This window comes from Homo sapiens, chromosome 1 (genome assembly GCF_000001405.40).
Source record: "Homo sapiens chromosome 1, GRCh38.p14 Primary Assembly".
Taxonomy (NCBI): domain Eukaryota; kingdom Metazoa; phylum Chordata; class Mammalia; order Primates; family Hominidae; genus Homo; species Homo sapiens.
Window position 1 is genome coordinate 26,831,279 of NC_000001.11, and position 17,885 is coordinate 26,849,163.

A 17,885-nucleotide genomic window follows, 5' to 3' on the forward strand; every position below is an offset into this window, starting at 1 on the left:
GCTTGTTATAGGAACTGTCATGGGCTATTGTGATGGGAGGAGCAGGAGCAAGACGAGAGTTTTGTAGAATGAGGCTGAAGTCCTCAGTAGGGCCCAGATCATGCCTGGCCTAGAAGGCCATGGTAGGGAGTTTGGATTGTATTCAAACTATATGGAAAGCAATTGGGAGGTTTTAAGCAGGGAAATGACATGATCTGATTGACATTTCCAAAAGTGGCTCTGGCTTCTGGGTGGACAGTGAGGTGACAACAGAGAGGATTGGCCATAGAGAGAGAGCCCTGATAGCTTCACTATCATGAAGCCATTCTCCCACCAGTGTCCAGAACTTCTAGAATGTTCTAGCCCTAAGATGGAGGAGGGAGCTTGAAGAGGGCTGTGGTAGGCAGCCTCCCTGGGGGACAGAGGCATGACCATTCAGCAGGCACAGGCTATTCTCTGAGGCAGCCAGGGTCAGGGGGTCTGAAAGCACTGCCTTGGGGATACCTGCCTACCTTGGGTCACAGTGACAGTGGCTGGACCATGCAGTTCCCCCAGCCCTCTACTCATTCTTCAGGTTGGAGCTTAGGATTGTCTCCTTCAGGTTGCCTTTCCTGACTGTGCTACTGCGTTCCCCTCCCCCACTAGAGCACACATCACCCTGTGTGGCAATTCCCTGTTTACATGTCTTGTTTTCCCCACTAGACCATAAGCCACAAGGGGGAGGGACTCTTGTCTTATCCGTCGTCATTATTCCTGCTGCTTATTGAAGGTGTTGCCTGCCACAGAGAAGACCTCAGTAAATATTTGTGGACTGAGTGAGTGAATGAATGAGTGAATGAACACTGCAGGATGGTTTGTCTCAGGTGACAGTCCACTAGTGTCTGCCTGAAGCTCTGTGTGTAGAGGGATTCTCTGGATGCAGAGGTTAGGAGTGCTGGGATCTATTGGACACATCTGCCATGTGCTCTGGAGGAAAGTATATCACAAGGATCAATTAGTGATGTCTGTTCCCGGTACTTATTGGGGAGTGGCTGCACTCATCAAGGAGCTGTGCCTCTGCCTCAGAGCGAGGCTGTATTCAAGATTTTGGTGGTGGTTGTTGGAATGACAGCGCCTGCCACGTGCTGTAGCCCTGTGCCGCAGGGAGCCCTTGGGGTGTCTGCTGATCTCTCTCCATCTCTCGTTCTAGCTGTCCCTACCTGGCTCGCAAGCTGACCCTTGCCATCCCCATCATCGCTGCCATCCTCTTCTTCTTCGTCATGAGCTGCCTGCTGCAGACAAGCTTCACCGACCCTGGGATCCTGCCCCGGGCCACTGTCTGTGAAGCAGCCGCCCTGGAGAAACAGATCGGTGAGGTTTCTACTCCCAGCTGAAGCTGGGTCTCCATAGCTCCACATTCCCTGACTTGGGAGGAGGCCTGGTTTTCTCTTCCAAAACTATACTAGGAACTGGGGATGCAGTCGTGAGCAAGGCAGGCTGGAGCTGACACTGGCACAGAGGGAGACAGATGATCAACAAGTGAGCAAATAAGTAAGCAAGAAATGCTGGCCAGCCAGCAAAGGCCCCGATGGCAGCCAGCGTGGAGCTGAGTAGTTCCTGGGGGCTAGGCACTGTTTTAAGCTCTTTATATGCATGATCTTATTTAATCCCCCAGTAATCCTATGAGGTAGGTACTGTTGTCATTCTCCTTTTACTGATTAATTAAATCAAGGCAAAAGAGGGTCCAAGATCACAAAGTAAGTAGAAGAGCTGAGATGAGACCTCAGTCTAGAGCACCTGCTCTTAAACATTCATATACACTTATTCATTCACTCATCAAACATTTATTGACCCCCTACTATGTGCCAGGCACTTTTCTAGATGTGATACAGCAGTGAACAAAACTGACAATAGTCCCTGTCCTCATGGAGCTTGACAGTTGAGGAGGAGGAAAGAGACAATAAATAACAAATAATTAAATATCTAGGATATCAGACAGAGAAGAAAGGAGGGAAGGAGGATGAAGGCTACAGGGAGGGTGTGTGATTTTACATAGGGTGGCCAGGGAACATCTTGTGAAGGAGGTGACATCTGAGCAAAGAAGCACCGGCCTGAACAGATGAGGGCTTGACGGTGGGGTTATCTAGGGAAGAGCCCAGTAGGTGTTGGGGAGTGGGCTAGTTTAGGTCAGGTGGTCAGGGGAGACCTCTAGGAGGAGGCGGCACTGGAGATGAGTGTGGTAGAAATACGGGGATCTGGGAAAAGTAAGGCCAAAGCCCAGAGTGGCAAACAGCCTGGGCGTGTGTGAGGAACGGCAGTGGCTGGAAAGACCCTGTGCTCCCAGGCAGCCCAGGTGGCCCTTGATTCCTTTCAGACTGCTGTGTGGGTTCCGGGGTGGCGGGGTACTGGGCCAGGTCCCTAATCTCAGCTTGCTGCACCCCAGCTCTTCCTGCTGAGAAGTGACGTGGCTACTTGCACACCTCGGGGGTTTCCGGTCCGTGGTTAGCTCCTTCCCCTAACAGCATGGTGTTCACACAGGCTTTTAAACACCCAGCTGGCCCTGAAGACATCTAGTGGCCTGTAAATGTCAGAGCCCTGCTGCATCCATCGCTAGAAATCATTTCACTAATACTCTGTGCAGCAGGGAGGGAGGGAGGGCGAGCAGCTGGAGAGGATGTTCTCTGGGCTCTGTCTGCTCTTTGTCTCATTCCTCTGCCCAGCCCCATCCTCAGCCACGCCTGCGAGGGCCACCTCCTCTCACCTACATCCAGCGTCCTACCCCTTCAAACTCTGGGTCCCTGGCCACTCCTTCAGGATCCCACGGTCTGACCTGGGCTGGCCCACCTGGCAGCTGGGGAGGCCCAGCTGTGCCCCGTTCTTCCTCCCCTTCTGGTCAGGGCTAATCATGAGGCAGGATTATTGTCCAGCTCAGCCGGACCCAGAGGTCTGGCTGCCTGGAATCCTCGGCCTCCTGTGAGCTGCGTGGATCACAGTGACAGCAGTAATCCCCTTCTTGGAAAGAGCTTGGCCGTGTGCTGAGTGCTTTCCATCTATTATCCCCACAAATCTTCACAACAGCCCAGTGAGGGCGACCCTGTTAACCAATTGTACTGATGGAGAAACGGAGGCAGGTGATCACAGGGCCAGGATAAAGAAGCAGAGACAGAGTGTGTGCCTTTCACTCCCAAACCCCTTGCTTTCTCTTCTGAGATGGCAGCAGGGACACATCTCCTTCATCCTCTTCTCCACTTGTTTCCTGTGCTCTGGGAAGCCTTCTTGACCCCAGTTGGGCCAGGCCTTCCATTGCACATTCCCAGAGCACCTTCTCCTTCCTTCTCTGAACCTGTGCTGCAACGGTGGTCATTACAAAATCATCCTTTCTGCTGGCCTGTGAGGGCATGGAATTCCAGCATCTTGTTCACCTTGTCGCCATGTAGAAGGCTCAGTGACGTTGGCTAAATGAGTAAATGAATGACTGAAGAATAGGTGAGCTTCTGTGAAGGCCCTCCTTGCTCTGTCAGGGTGACAGGTGAGGAAACAGTCAGGACATCTCCCAGTTGGGCATCATGGGTTTGTTCATTTGTGTGTTAATTCTATATGCTGACCCCTGACAGCAGAGTGAAGGCAGGTGGGGGCCAACAATGAATCTGATAGGAGCTTACTCTCATGGGTTCCAGACAAGTTGGCCCCAGGTGGGAGCCCTGACCAGCCACTGCCAGTGAGATCAGGCTTTAGAAGAGGGTCAGAGGAGTCAGGAGCATCTTCTGCCTGGGGGACTGGAGAAGCTTCCTGGAGAAGTGATGCTTGAGCTAAGTCTTTAAGTTTGGGTGGAATTCAAGCACAGGAGCTGTGCGGAGGCAGCCCTTCAGGCAGACAAAGCTGAGGGAAGAGAGAGTGGCAGAGGGAAGGAGGAGGGATGGGAACGGGCCACTGAGCAGGCCACGTTGGCTAGAATATGAGGAGCACTTCAGATAGTTAGGGATATTAGAGATATTCCAGTTGGAAGGATGGGGTGGAATCAATCTTGTAGGGCGCTGAATGTCCCTAAGACTTTTCTTGGCGAACAGGTGCAAAGTGCAAAAGTGGCATTTTGGAGGCCTTTGAATTCTCAAACTTGAATAGAAGCCAAATTTTTGGGTGTGACCAGGAGACTTCTAACTAATTAAAGTAAAACATATTTCCCAGGGCTGGCACAGTGGCTCACGCCTGTAATCCCAGCACTTTGGGAGGCCGAGGCGGGCGGATCACAAGGTCAGGAGATTGAGACCATCCTGGCCAACATGGTGAAACCCTGTCTCTAGTAAAAATACAAAAATTAGCTGGGCATGGTGGCGTGTGCCTGTAATCCCAGCTACTCAGGAGGCTGAGGCAGAATAATCGCTTGAACCAGGGAGTCGGAGGTTGCAGTGAGCCAAGGTTGCGCCATTGCACTCCAGCCTGGTGACAGAGCAAGACTCCGTCTCAAAAAACAAAAAAAACCAAAAACATATTTCCCCGAAAATGATCAGGACTAAGATCACTGAACCTTTTCCAGAAGGTTGGGAGCTGTCTCTGAGGCAGGTGGTGCTGTTCATGTGAGCATGAACTGATTACCTGGTCCTAGGCTCATGTAGACAGTGTGGGCTTTTCCCTTTGGCACCCCAGCCCAGCAACTCCAGCCCAACAGGTCTGGCCCAGGGCTCCTGCCCTGTGGGGACAGTCTGAGGTAGAGTGACCAGCTCCTCCCAGTTTACCCAGGACCACCTGGAAAGTCTCCTGTCTTAGGAAACCACTCAATCCCAGGAAAATCAGGGCACTCGGTCACCCTCATCTGAGATCCTGTCTTGCCGGCTGGTGGGCTGTGCAGCTGGCTCACCCTGCAGGCTCTAGGCAGTTGGGAAGAGCAATATTGCTCCCAGAAGCTCCTGGTCTGATGGGAGGTGATAGAGACATCCAAATCCAAGTGACAGATGCTCACTTAGACCCTGTTACAGTTCACATGACGGACACAGAGGCTGCGTCTCTCTCCACTGCCATACACCAGCTCCCAGACCCCATCTCCTTTGTCTCCAGGACGTCTCTGCCCACTTCCCCTGGACAGACCTGCCTCGTGTTCCACCTGAACTGGCTCAGGGCTCTGCAGAACAGGCCCTGACTGGGCCTTTCCCTTCAATTGTAGTTATCTCTCCAAGATCCCAAATTTGTTCTCCCCACCCCTGCCCTGTCCCCCCACAAACCCCACAGAATTTGGGTGACTCTCTGGTGCCCTCAGCATATCAGTGATATGAGTCCAGCCTTTGTGATTTTTCCTTCTGCATCCCGCCTTGTACCTTCATTTCTTTTTTTTTCTTTTTTTCTTTTTTTTTTTTTTGAGACGGAGTCTTGCTCCGTTGCCCAGGCTGGAGTGCAGTGGCACAATCTCAGCTCACTGCAACCTCTGCCTCCCAGGTTCATGCCATTCTCCTGCCTCAGCCTCCCGAGTAGCTGGGACTACAGGCACCTGCTACCACGCCCAGCTAATTTTTCGTATTTTTAGTAGAGACGGGGTTTCACTGTGTTAGCCAGGATGGTCTCGATCTCCTGACCTTGTGATCCGCCCGTCTCAGCCTCCCAAAGTGCTGGGATTACAGGCATGAGCCACCGCATCTGGCTGTACCTTCATTTCTTTAGTATTTTCCTCCTAAATGGCTCATCTTTAAATATATATGTATAATATATATATTTCATATACATTAAATATATATTAAATGCAGCTGGGCGCAGTGGCTCATGCCTGTAATCCCAGCACATTGGGAGGCCGAAGCAGGTGGATCACAAGGTCAGGAGATCGAGACCATCCTGGCTAACAAGGTGAAGCCCCATCTCTACTAAAAAAAATACAAAAAAAATTAGCTGGGTGTGGTGGCGGCCACCTGTAGTCCCAGCTACTCGGGAGGCTGAGGCAGGAGAATGGTGTGAACCTGGGAGGCGGAGCTTGCAGTGAGCCGAGATGGCGCCACTGCACTCCAGCCTGGGCGACAGAGTGAGACTCTGTCTCAAAAAAAATATATATATATATATATAAAATATACATTTATATATTTACTACATATGTATAATATATAACATATTTAATATGTATAATATATTTAACATATTTAATATGTATAATATACATTTTACATCTATATTTAATATGCATAATATGTATTTAACATATATTTAATATGTATAATATATTTAACATATTTAATATATTATGTATATTATTTATTTATTTATTTATTTATTTATTTATTTTTTGAGACAGAGTCTCGCTCTGTCACCCAGGCTGGAGTGCAATGGTGTGATCTCAGCTTACTGCAGCCTCCACCTCCTGGGTTCAAGTGACTCTCCTGCCTCAGCCTCCCAAGTAGCTGCGATTACAGGCATGCACCACCATGCCTGGCTAATTTTTGTATCTTTAGTAGAGATGGGGTTTCACCATGTTGGCCAGGCTGGTCTTGAACTTCTGACCTCAGGTGATCCACCTGCCTCAGCCTCCCAAAGTGCTGGGATTACAGGCATGATCCACCGTGCCCAGCCCCTCTTCTATCTTCTTGAAAACTCACTCATGAGATTAAGGCAAGCTGCAGTCTACCCCAGCCACTGCTCTTCTCCTACTGGTCCCTGGCACCCCCAGCCACGCTGTGCACTGGATGCCTCAGTGCGTTTGCTTGTGCTTGTGCTGTCCCCGCCTGCCGTGGTGAGCCAGAGTGCTCATTCTTTCTGATCCAGCTTTGCTGTTACTTCTTTTGTTGCTTGCTTTTTTTTTTTTTTAAGACAGGGTTTTGCTCTTGTTGCCCAGGCTGGAGTGCAGTGGTGAGATCTCGGCTCACCACAACCTCTGCCTCTCGGGTTCAAGCGATTCTCCTGCCTCAGCCTCCCGAGTAGCTGGGATTATGGGCATGCACCACCATGCACCCTAATTTTGTATTTTTAGTAGAGATGGAGTTTCTCCATGTTGGTCAGGCTGATCTCAAACTCCCGACCTCCGGTGATCCGCCCGCCTCAGCCTCCCAAAGTGCTGGAATTACAGGTGTGAGCCACTGTGCCTGGCCCCTTGCTTTCTTTTTAAATTATTTTTTGTAGAAACAGGGTCTTGCTGTGTTGCCCAGGCTGATCTCTCAAACTCCTGGACTCAAGCAGTCCTCCAGCCTTACCCTCCCAAAGTGTTGGGATTACAGTCACGAGCCACTGCACTCGGCCTGTTGCTTTCTTGAATGCTGCTTCCTGCCTCCACCCCACATATTTCCCTCTGTGTTCTTGAGGCATTGAGTATAGGCACCAGTAATGTCATTAATTGAATAGCTATTTAGGTCAGATCTTGATATTATGTTATTTCTGATTTGTGTAAAATTTTACAAGGTTGATGTCATCATTACCCATTCTACAGGTGAGGAAAGTGAGGCTTAGAGATTGATCAGCTTCTTAAGTTTACAGGCTAACAATTGGCCATGCCAGGGTTCAAAATAAGATTAGGCAGGCCCAGAGTCACCACACAGAGGCACTGCCTTGTAGGAGGACTCTTAATTATCCACTTCTGTCTGACTCTGCCCTCAGGCGGGCTCTTCCTGTATCCACAGGCCTAGCACTAAGCCTGGTATGTGGTGAAGGCCCCATGAACCCCAGAGATGGACAGAAGTGGTCTGGGAGGGTTATGGTGACCTAGCACTCGAGGCCTGGGAGCTGTGGCTGACCTTGAGCTGGCCTTAGAGGCGGGGAGACTGCAGTCCTGCAGCTGTTTCCTCTGCAGGTGACAACAGTGGAAGGGCAGAGGGCAGTCAGGGCCTTCTCAGCAGCCCGCAGCCAGCCCTGGGGAACTTCCACAGCCCCAGCCTTTCAGGCTCTGACCGCAGAAGGCCTGCCTGCTCCTCTCCGAGAGCTGTCTTAGGGTGGGGAAATTCCTTTGCCCTCACAGCCATTCAGTGACGAGTAGCCTTGCTTTTCGTCTCATTTTCACATCCTCAGAGCTTTGGTTTCTGCCTGGAAGGCAGCAGGAGGGCCTTGCTGGCATAAGGGCACCTTTTTACTTGGGAAGAGCCTGGCATAGCAGAAACAGCCCTGGAGTAGATCTTAGATTCCCTGAGGGCAGGGATAGCATCACTTACCATCACTCCCTTCTTTCTTCTTTTCTACAACAAATATTTTTTGAACATCCACAGTATGTCAGGCAGGCACAGGGTGAACAAAACCAATATCTTTGACTCATTTCTATGAATTTGCCCCTTACCTTCCCTGCCACCCCCAGGCCTTGTACAGTAACTTGCACATAGTAGGTGCTCATGTGTGAAAGAGTGAACAAATGAGTGCCCTGGAAGACAAGGGTCCTAGTTTCAGCCCCACCTTCTATTATTGGAGTGAACTTGCTTTCCCATCTGTAACTCACAGGCACGGATCCCCTTGCCTAGCCCAGAGCAGTCTCTGTGATTGAGTGAGACTAGGAATGTCAGCACACTTTGTAAGTCACTTTTCTCTATTGAAACTGAAGAGACTTGAGTCTTTTGGTCAGGAATGGAGAGTGGACTTGCTCCAGGTGCTAACAAGCTGCCATCGGTAGTGGCTGCCAGGAGGAGCAGGTTGAGGAGGATTCTGAGGCTGAGTTTGGGGCGGTGATGGGTCAGCACTGTCCGGTCTGAGAATCAGCAATGGGAGAGCTGCTTGTCTTCCCCCATGAAGGGTGCAGCCCCTGCAGAGCCTCCTTTGTCCCAACTCTGGCGACTTTGATTTAGCACCAGGTGGACTCTTGCTCCAGCATGACACAGCGCTCTGCCTCCCCTGGCTCCTGGCAGCCTCAGGAAGCCGGGGTACAGAGCTTCATTTGCTCTTCTGCAGAGTGCTGGAGAGAAAGAAGCCTGGCTGCTGGAGACCAGAACATGCTTAGCAGTTCCCTCCCTGTCCTGGGGAGAGGCTTGGGTTCCCCTCTCCCCTGAGGAAGACCTGTGGGATTCCACTGAGGATTCCAGTAACTTCTGTCAGTGCTGGAGAGGGTCTGTGGCTGTCCTTCATTCACAGATGGGCTGTGTTCTGAAGTTTTCTTCATAACTCCATTGTTTGTTTGGAATGCAATGTTTTGTGGAAACAAAAGTCATAATAATGGCTGATATTTGTTAAGCCCTTGTCAAGCGTTAGCCACTTTGCTAAAGCCACTTGGTGAATTCTCACCTAATCCTTCCAGCAGCCCCCTGAGATGGACTCAATGATGTTCCATTTTATTTTATTTTTTTGAGACAGCCTTGCTCTGTCACCCAGGCTGGAGTGCAGTGGCGCGATTTCGGATCACTTCAACTTCCACCTCCTGGGTTCAAGCGATTCTTCCTGCCTCAGCCTCCCGAGTAGCTGGGATTACAGGCATGCGCCACCATGCCCGGCTAATTTTTGTATTTTTAGTAGAGATGGGGTTTCAGTGTGTTGGCCAGGCTGGTCTTGAACTCCTGACCTCAGGTGATCCGCCTGCCTCGGCCTCCCAAAGTGCAGGGATTACAGGCGTGAGCCATCATGTCCAGCCTATTTATTTTAACTTTTAAATATTTTTTAGAGACACAGCCTCGCTCTGTCACCCAGGCTGGAATGCAGTGGCACAGTCATACCTCACTGCAACCTTGAACTCCTAAACTTTCCCTTCAACTTTCCCTTCAACTGTAGTAGTTATCTCTCTTGTTAGGTTGTTTCATTACCACCTTGACTTCCTGCCTCAGTCTCCCGTGTAGCTAGAATTGCAGGTTCATGCCACATACAGCTAATTTTTTGGGGGGAGGGGGGGACAGAGTTTTGCTCTTGGCACCCAGGCTGGAGTGCAGTGGCGTGATCTCAGCTCACTGCAACCTCTGCCTCCCGGGTTCAAGTGATTCTCTTGCCTCAGCCTCCCGAGTAGCTGGGATTACAGGTGCACACCACCACACCTGGCTAATTTTTGTATTTTTAGTAGAAATGGGGTTTCACCATGTTTAAGGCTGGTCTCGAACTCCTGACCTCAGACAGGTGATCCACCTGCCTTGGCCTCCCAAAATGTTGGGATTACAGGTGTAAGCCACCACGCCCAGCCCACATCCAGCTAATTTTTAAAAATTATTATTTTTATAGAGATGGGGTCTCACACTATGTTACCCAGGCTGATCTCAAACTCCTGGCCTCAAGCAATCCTCCTGCTTCAGCCTCCCAACGTGCTGGGATTACAGGCATGAGCCACTATGCTTGGCCTTCCATTTTATTTATTTAGCAGATGATGGCACAGAGAAGTTGAGTGATTTGACCCACCTCACTCAGCCAGTAAGTGATTGGAGTGAGATTTATACCTACATGTGTTTCTGGCTCCAAAGCCTATGTCCAAGTCAGCAAGGAAGCAGTGAGTGGGGAGCCAAAAGCTGGGACTCTGGGGCCTGTGGGACAGGATTAGGGGTTTGGTTTGGAGTAGTATCACCAGCTTTGGAAAGAGCTGCTGCTGGGGGTTCTGCATCCTGGAGGGTCATGGCATGAACAGTTGGTCAGGAGCAATGTCAGTGGCTCCTGGGAGGCTAGCACTGTGCTCAGGGCTGTGGAAGCATCTCATTCAGCCCTCACCACAATCCTATGAAGGTATGACTTGACCCATCTCTATTTTACAGATAAAGAAACTGAGGTGGCCAGGCGCGGTGGCTCACGCCTGTAATCCCAGCACTTTGGGAGGCCAAGGTGGGTGGATCATGAGGTCAGGAGTTCAAGACCAGCCTGGCCAACATAGTGAAACCCTGTCTCTACTAACAATACAAAAAATTAGCCAGGCATGGTTGCGGGCACCTGTAATCCCAGCTACCCAGGAGGCTGAGGCAGAGAATTGCTTTGACCTGCAAGGTGGAGGTTGCAGTGAGCCAAGATCGCGCCACTGCACTCCAGCCTGGGCAACAGAGCGAGACTCCATCTCAAAAAAAAAAAAAAAAAGAGAGAGAGAGAGACAGGGTCCGCCTTTATTGCCCAGGCAGGTCTCAAACTCTTGGCTTCAAGCAATCTTCCTGCCTCAGCCTCCCAAAGTGCTGGGATTACAGGCATGAGCCACTATGCTTGGCCCTGTGAGTTAATAATAATAGCTCACACTTGCTAACCATTTGCTTTGTGCCATTTCACATATATTGATTCATTTAACTCTCACAACAACCCTATGAAGGTGAGTTACTATCGTTTCTATTTCAGTGATTAGAGAAACTGAGGCACAAAGAGCTTATATGATTTTTTAGCAAATGATATCATCAGGAGAAACCCAGCTGGGCAGAAGTGGAGTGGAACTAGATTCATTAGCTATTCTACCTGTTATTCCTGTTTTACACATGAGAAAACTGAGGCTCAGAGAAGTTCATTTGACTTCAGCCTTACACACAACCAGTCAATGACAAAACCAGGGTTCAGAGTGTGGCCATTGGCCTCTAAATCCCCCACCCTTCTTCATGCTGCCCATTTTAGGGAAGAAATGCTCAGATGCTTAGTTCCATTTTAAACATGCTGTAGTCAAGGTGGTGATGAAACAACCTAACAAAGTAAACCTTTGGTAGTTGAAAATGTGAGACTGAAGCATGTTTGCTTCACTGATATATGCCAAGTGCCTAGAATCGTGCCTGGCACATTGGTAGGCACTCAGTAAATAATCATTGGAGGCCAGTGGCCAAACTGGAGACATTATCTGGCAAACAATGCAATGGAAGCAATGGCAGGGTGCATGGTGGAGGGCTGGGGGTATAGGCTGCCCCAGGAGACTCAGACTTCTTTCTGGAAGGAGCCACTGTTCAGGTTCTCTGTGCCCTGGGGTACCCAGAGGCTCAATGGGTGAAGTTTTGGGCTTTGCATATGACACACCTAGGTTAGAGTCCTGCTCTGCCGATATACCAGGGCAGGACCTAAATAACTTACTTAAGTCTTTCCTTTTTTCTTTCTTTCTTTTTTTTTTTTTTCTTTTTTTGAGACGGAGTTTCGTTCTTATCACCCAGGCTGGAATGCAATGGCGACTGTTCAGCTCACTGCAACCTCCACCTCCCGAGTTCAAGCAATTCTCCTTTCTCAGCCTCCCGAGTAGCTGGAATTATAGGCACGCACCACCACACCCGGCTAACTTTTGTGTTTTTAGTAGAGAGGGTTTCACCAGGTTGGCCAGGCTGGTCTCGAACTCCTGACCTAAGGTGATCCACCCGTCTCAGCCTCCCAAAGTGCTGGGATTACAGGCGTGAGCCACCGTGCCCGGCCTCCTTTTTTCTCTATTTCTTATTTTTTATGGAAGTATAATGGGCTTATCAAAAGTATACAAGTTGTGGCCGTGTACGGTGGTTCATGCCTGTAATACCAGCACTTTGGGAGGCTGAGGTGGGTGGATGACTTCAGATCAGGAGTTCGAGACCAGCCTGGCCAACATGGTGAAACCCCATCTCTACAAAAAAATACAAAAATTATCTGGGCGTAGTGGCACACACCTGTAATCCCAACTCCTCAGGAGGCTGAGGCAGGAGAATTGCTTGAACCTGGGAGGCGGAGGTTGCAGTGAGCCGACATCATGCCACTGCACTCCAGCCTGGGCAACAGAGCAATATTCCGTCTCAAAAAAAAAAGGTATAGAAATTTTAAGTGTTCTGTCTGATGAATGTTCACAAACTGAATGTACACATGTAATCAGCACTGAGATCAAGAAACAGTATATGACTGGCATCCCAGGAGCCCCCTCATGCCCCCTTCCAATCACTGTCACTCTCCAAGGGTTACACAATCCTAATTTCTAACACCATGGATTACTTTTGCCTATTTTTGAACATTTTGTACTGTATGTCTGGCTTCCTCACTTTACACAATTTGTTTTGTTTTGTTTTTTTGTGATGGAGTCTCGCTCTGTCACCCAGACTGGAGTGCAATGGCGTGATTTCAGCTCACTGCAACCTCCATCTCCTGGGTTCAAGCAATTCTCCTGCCTCAGCCTCCCGAGTAGCTGGGATTACAGGTGCACACCACCATGCCCAGCTAATTTTTGTATTTTTGTAGAGATGGGGTTTCACCATGTTGGCCGGGCTGGTCTTGAACTCCTGACCTCAAGTGATCTGCCCGCCTTGGCCTCCCAAAGTTCTGGGATTATAGGTGTAAGCCACTGCACCCGGCCAGACAATGTTTATGAGATTCATTAATATTATTGTGTGTAGTTGACGATGGTTCGATTCTCATTGCTATATAGAATTCCACTGTGTGAATATACTACTTTTTAAAAACATCCATTCTACTACTGGGGTGTTTGGGTAGTTCTGGAGTTTGTCTATTATGAGAATTATTGCTGTGAACATCCTTGTGCATGTCTTTCAGAGCACATTATCTCATGCACATTGCTGTTGGGTAGATGCCTGGGAGCAGGTTTTCTGGGCGTGCATATGTTCAGCTTGGGTAGCTGTTGCCAAACAGTTGTCCAAAGCGGTCATATGAGATTTCTAGTTGCTCTACTTTTTTACCAACACTTGGTATGTTTTATTTTTTTTCATTTTAGCCATTCTAGTGCATGTGTCATAGTAGCATATTGTGGTCTTAATTTGCATTTCCTCGCTGACTAATGAATATAAGCACTTTTTCACGTGTTTATTGGCTGTTTGGACAGCCTCTTTTATGAGATGCCTACTTAAGTCTTTTGTCCGTATTTGTATTCAGTTGTCTGACTTTCTTACTGACTTACAGGATTTCTTTACATGGTTTTTTTTTTTGGTTTTTTTTTTTTGAGATGGAGTCTTGCTCTGTCACCCAGGCTAGAATGCAGTGGCGCAATCTCGGCTCACTGCAATCTCCGCCTCCTGAGTTCAAGTGATTCTCCTGCCTCACCCTCCCAAGTAGCTGGGATTACTTACAGGCATGCGCCACCATGCCCGGCTAATTTTTGTATTTTTAGTATAGACGAGGTTTCACCAGTTTGGCCAGGCTGGTCTCGAACTCTTGACCTGAGGTCATCCACCTGCCTCGGCCTCCCAAAGTGCTGGAATTACAGGCTTAAGCCAAGGCGCCCAGCCCTTTACATATTCTTCATACAAGTCCTTTGTCTTTGTTTACAAGATGTAAACATCTTGTAATTATCCATTCCTGCTCTAAAGGTTACTTCTTCATTCTTTTTTTTTTTTTTTTTTTTTTTTTTTTTTTTGAGACAGTCTCTCTCTGTCACCCAGGCTGGAGTGCAGTGGCATGATTTCAGCTCACTGTAACCCCCACCTCCCTGGTTCAAGTGATTTTCATGCCTCAGCCTCTTGAGTAGCTGGGATTACAGGCGCCCACCACCACACCCAGCTAATTTTTGTATTTTTAGTAAAGATGGGATTTCACCATGTTGGCCAGGCTGGTATCGAACTCCCAACCTCAGGTGATCTGCCTGCCTTAGCCTCCCAAATTGCTGGGATTACAGGCTTGAGCCACCGCGCCCGGCCTCATTCTTTTTTTTAATCATCCAGCCCCAAAAAACTCTTCATTCTCTTAATGATTACCTTTAAATGAAAAAAAAATTTAATTTTGATATAATGCAGTTTATCAAATTGCTCTTTTATGATTAGCCCCTTTGTGTCTTTTGTTTGTTTGAGACAGGGTCTTGTTCTGTTGGAAAGGCTGGAGTACAGTGGCACAATCATGGCTCACTGCAGCCCCAAACTCCTGAGCTCAGGCAATCCTCCTGCCTCAGCCTCCTGAGAAGCTGGGACCACAGGCATGAGCAACCATGCCCAGCCACCTCCATATGAGTTTTGGAATGAGTTTGTCAATTTTCACAAAAACAACCTACTGGGATTTTTGACTAGGATTATGTTGAATCTGTGGATTAGGGAGAATAAATCCTTTCATAATATTCAGTCTTCCAATCCATGAATATGCTATATCTCTGCCTTTTTTTCTCTTAAATTTCTTTTGTGTGTGTGTATATATATATGTGTGTGTATATATATGTGTGTATATATATACATGTATATATGTCTATATATACACATATATCTATATACATACATATATACACGTATATACATATATATGTGTATATAGAGAGAGAGATATATAGATATATATCTCTATAGAGATATATGTGTGTGTGTGTGTGTGTATATATATATATATATATATTTTTTTTTTTTTTTTTTTTTTTTTTTTTTTTTTGAGGCAGAGTCTCGCTCTGTCTCCCAGGCTGGAGTGCAGTGGCCCAATCTCGGCTCACTGCAAGCTCTGCCTCCCGGGTTGACGCCATTCTCCTGCCTCAGCCTCCCGAGTAGCTGGGACTACAGGCGCCCGCCACCATGCCCGGCTGATTTTTTTGTATTTTTAGTAGAGACGGGGTTTCACTGTGTTAATCAGGATGGTCTCCTGACCTCATGATCCGCCTGCCTCGGCCTCCCAAAGTGCTGGGATTACAGGCGTGAGCCACCATGCCCAGCCTTAAATTTCTTATTATGAAAATTTCAAACACACAGAAAAAGCAGGAAGGATTATAGTACAACTAATTCCTGTACATTCACCATCTAGATTGAATAGTAGTTGATAGTGCATCTTATTTGCATATATATGTTTGTTCTTCTCAAACTATTTCATAGTAAATTATAGACATCATAGATACTTTACCTATAAATATTTCAACATATGTCTTAAAAATCTAAGGATAATCTCCTACATAATCACAATTCCATTATCATACCTAAGAAAATTCATTGTTCCTAATTTTTTTTTTTTTCGAGACAGAGTCTCCCACCGTCGCCCAGGCTGGAGTGCAGTGGCATGATCTCGGCTCACTGCAAGCTCCGCCTCCCGGGTTCAAGCGATTCTCCTGCCTCAGCCTCCCGAGTAGCTGGGACTACAGGCACACGCCACCACAACCGGTTAATTTTTTGTATTTTTAGTAGAGACGGGGTTTCACCGTGTTGGTCAGGATGGTCTCGATCTCCTGACCTCATGATCCGCCCGCCTCGGCCCCCCAAAGTGCTGGGGTTACAGATGTGAGCCACCACACCTGGCCAATTGTTCCCTAATTTTTGTTTGTTTTTAGAGACAGGGTCTTGCTCTGTCACCCTGGCTAGAGTGCAATGGAGTGATCCTGGCTCATGCTCACTGCAGCCTGGAACTCCTGGGCTCAAATGATCCTCCCACCTCAGCCTCCTTAGTAGCTGGGACTATAGTCACACGCCGTCATACCCGGCTAATTTTTGTCATTTTTTATAGAGATAGGGTCTTCCTATTTGCCCAGGCTCATCTTGAACTCCTGGGCTCAAGCAGTCCTCCCATCTTGGCCTCCCAAGGTGCTGGGACTACAGGCATGAGCCACTGCATTCGGCCTGTTTCGTAGTTTTTAATCTGTAGTCAGATTTCCACAGTTGCCCTCCAAATGTCTTTTGTTGCTGTGTTTTGTTTTGTTTTTCAAAATAAGATCCATGATGTATTGCATTTGTTTATGTCTCTTAAATCGCTTTTAATTTAGAATCATCTCCTCTCTGCCTCTCTTTCTCTCTCTCTCTTTTTTTTTTAAGACAGGTTCTGGCTTTGTTGCCCAGGCTGGAGTGCAGTGGCGTGATCTTGACTCACTGCAGCCTTCACCCCCTGGGCTCAAGTGATCCTCACTCCTCAGCCTCCCAAAGTGCTGGGATTACAGGTGTGAGCTACTGCACCCGACCTCCTCTCTCTTTTTATAAATGACATTGACTTTTGTTAGAGATCAGGCCAGCAGTCTTGTAAATGTCTCATATTCTAGATCTGACTTTTTCCTCATTGTGTTACTCACTTTGTTCCTCCATCTCCTGAACCTCCTGTAAACTGGGACATAGGTCTAGGCTTGATGAGATGCAAATAAACCTCACTGGCTGGGCGCGGTGCATCACTCCTATAATCCTGGCTGTTTGGGAAGCCAAGGTGGGCAGATCACCTGAGGTCAGGAGTTCAGACCAGCCTGGCCAACGTGGTGAAACTCTGTCTCTACTAAAAATACAAAAATTAGCTGGGCGTGGTGGCACACTCCTGTAATCCCAGCTACTCGGGAGGCTGAGGCATGAGAATCGCTTGAACCTGCGAGGTGGAGGTTGCAGTGAGCTGAGATTCACGCCACTGTACTCCAGCCTGGGCGACAGAGTGAGACTCTGCCTCAGGAAAAAAAAAAAAACCCTCACTAAGCTTTCTGGGAGTCTCCTTCTCTGACAGCCCTTCTTAGAGTGGGTAAGGCCGGCAGGTGTATGAACAGAGGCAGTCTCAGTACATGGTGGCAGTTCCTAATATTTGTCCCTGCCTTAGGCCAGACATTTTACTCCAATGTTTGTTCCTGGGAACCTGTTACCCTGAGGCTTCTCCTGGACTGGCCAGGCAGCAGTAGCTTTCCCCTGCTGGGGATCCGGGCCCTGGGCTGCCTTGGGCATTCCCCATCTTTCTCTCCTCCTTCCCTCAGACAACACAGGCAGTTCTACATACCGGCCACCCCCTCGGACCCGGGAGGTGCTGATCAACGGGCAGATGGTGAAGCTGAAGTACTGCTTCACCTGCAAGATGTTCCGGCCACCCCGAACCTCACACTGCAGTGTCTGCGACAACTGTGTGGGTGAGTAGGAGGCAGCAGGGAGGGATGCAGGGATTCCTGAGAGAGACTGAGTCGTGGGGATGGGGGGCATCAAGCATGGGGATGGCGTGGGCAGGGTCTGAAATACCCAGGGCTGGGCAGGGGGTCTGGTTCACCCAGATTTGCCCTGACTCAGGAGGGCCCAGGGGAGGGGCCCTCAGCATAACCAGGAGTGTTTTGGCTTCAGCTCAGGATTGGTGGATTCCTTCCCCCAGCTCTGAGGTGTGGGGCAGACAGACAGGCTTTGAACCCTTCTCCCAGGCTTCAGCCCGGTCCTCAAGAGGTCCAAGCTCCCAGGAAACAGACTGGAACAATAACATTCCAGATGTGTTTGGGCCAGAAAGAATGAGTTACTGTCCAGTGGCCCAGGGCCAGCTGTACTGAAAAA

At 48.6% G+C, this 17,885-nt stretch overlaps 1 protein-coding gene across 1 annotated transcript in view, besides 3 other annotated features; it reads left to right on the forward strand.

Annotated features, from left to right (window-relative positions):
* ZDHHC18 (zDHHC palmitoyltransferase 18) overlaps positions 1-17,885 on the forward strand; it is a 30,917-nt gene that overhangs the window by 4,591 nt on the left and 8,441 nt on the right. The window contains exons 2-3 of the mRNA NM_032283.3: positions 1,169-1,329; positions 17,330-17,479. Of these exons, the coding sequence (NP_115659.1) occupies positions 1,169-1,329; positions 17,330-17,479 (311 nt within the window). The remainder of the gene's footprint in view (positions 1-1,168; positions 1,330-17,329; positions 17,480-17,885) is intronic.
* Positions 2,451-2,550: an enhancer, noted in NCBI's record as "active region_523". NCBI's record gives its function as "activates an Ori minimal core promoter by ATAC-STARR-seq in GM12878 lymphoblastoid cells {active_cell/tissue: GM12878}" and the evidence as "EXISTENCE:reporter gene assay evidence [ECO:0000049][PMID:35858748]".
* Positions 7,422-7,691: an enhancer, noted in NCBI's record as "active region_524". NCBI's record gives its function as "activates an Ori minimal core promoter by ATAC-STARR-seq in GM12878 lymphoblastoid cells {active_cell/tissue: GM12878}" and the evidence as "EXISTENCE:reporter gene assay evidence [ECO:0000049][PMID:35858748]".
* Positions 7,852-8,171: an enhancer, noted in NCBI's record as "active region_525". NCBI's record gives its function as "activates an Ori minimal core promoter by ATAC-STARR-seq in GM12878 lymphoblastoid cells {active_cell/tissue: GM12878}" and the evidence as "EXISTENCE:reporter gene assay evidence [ECO:0000049][PMID:35858748]".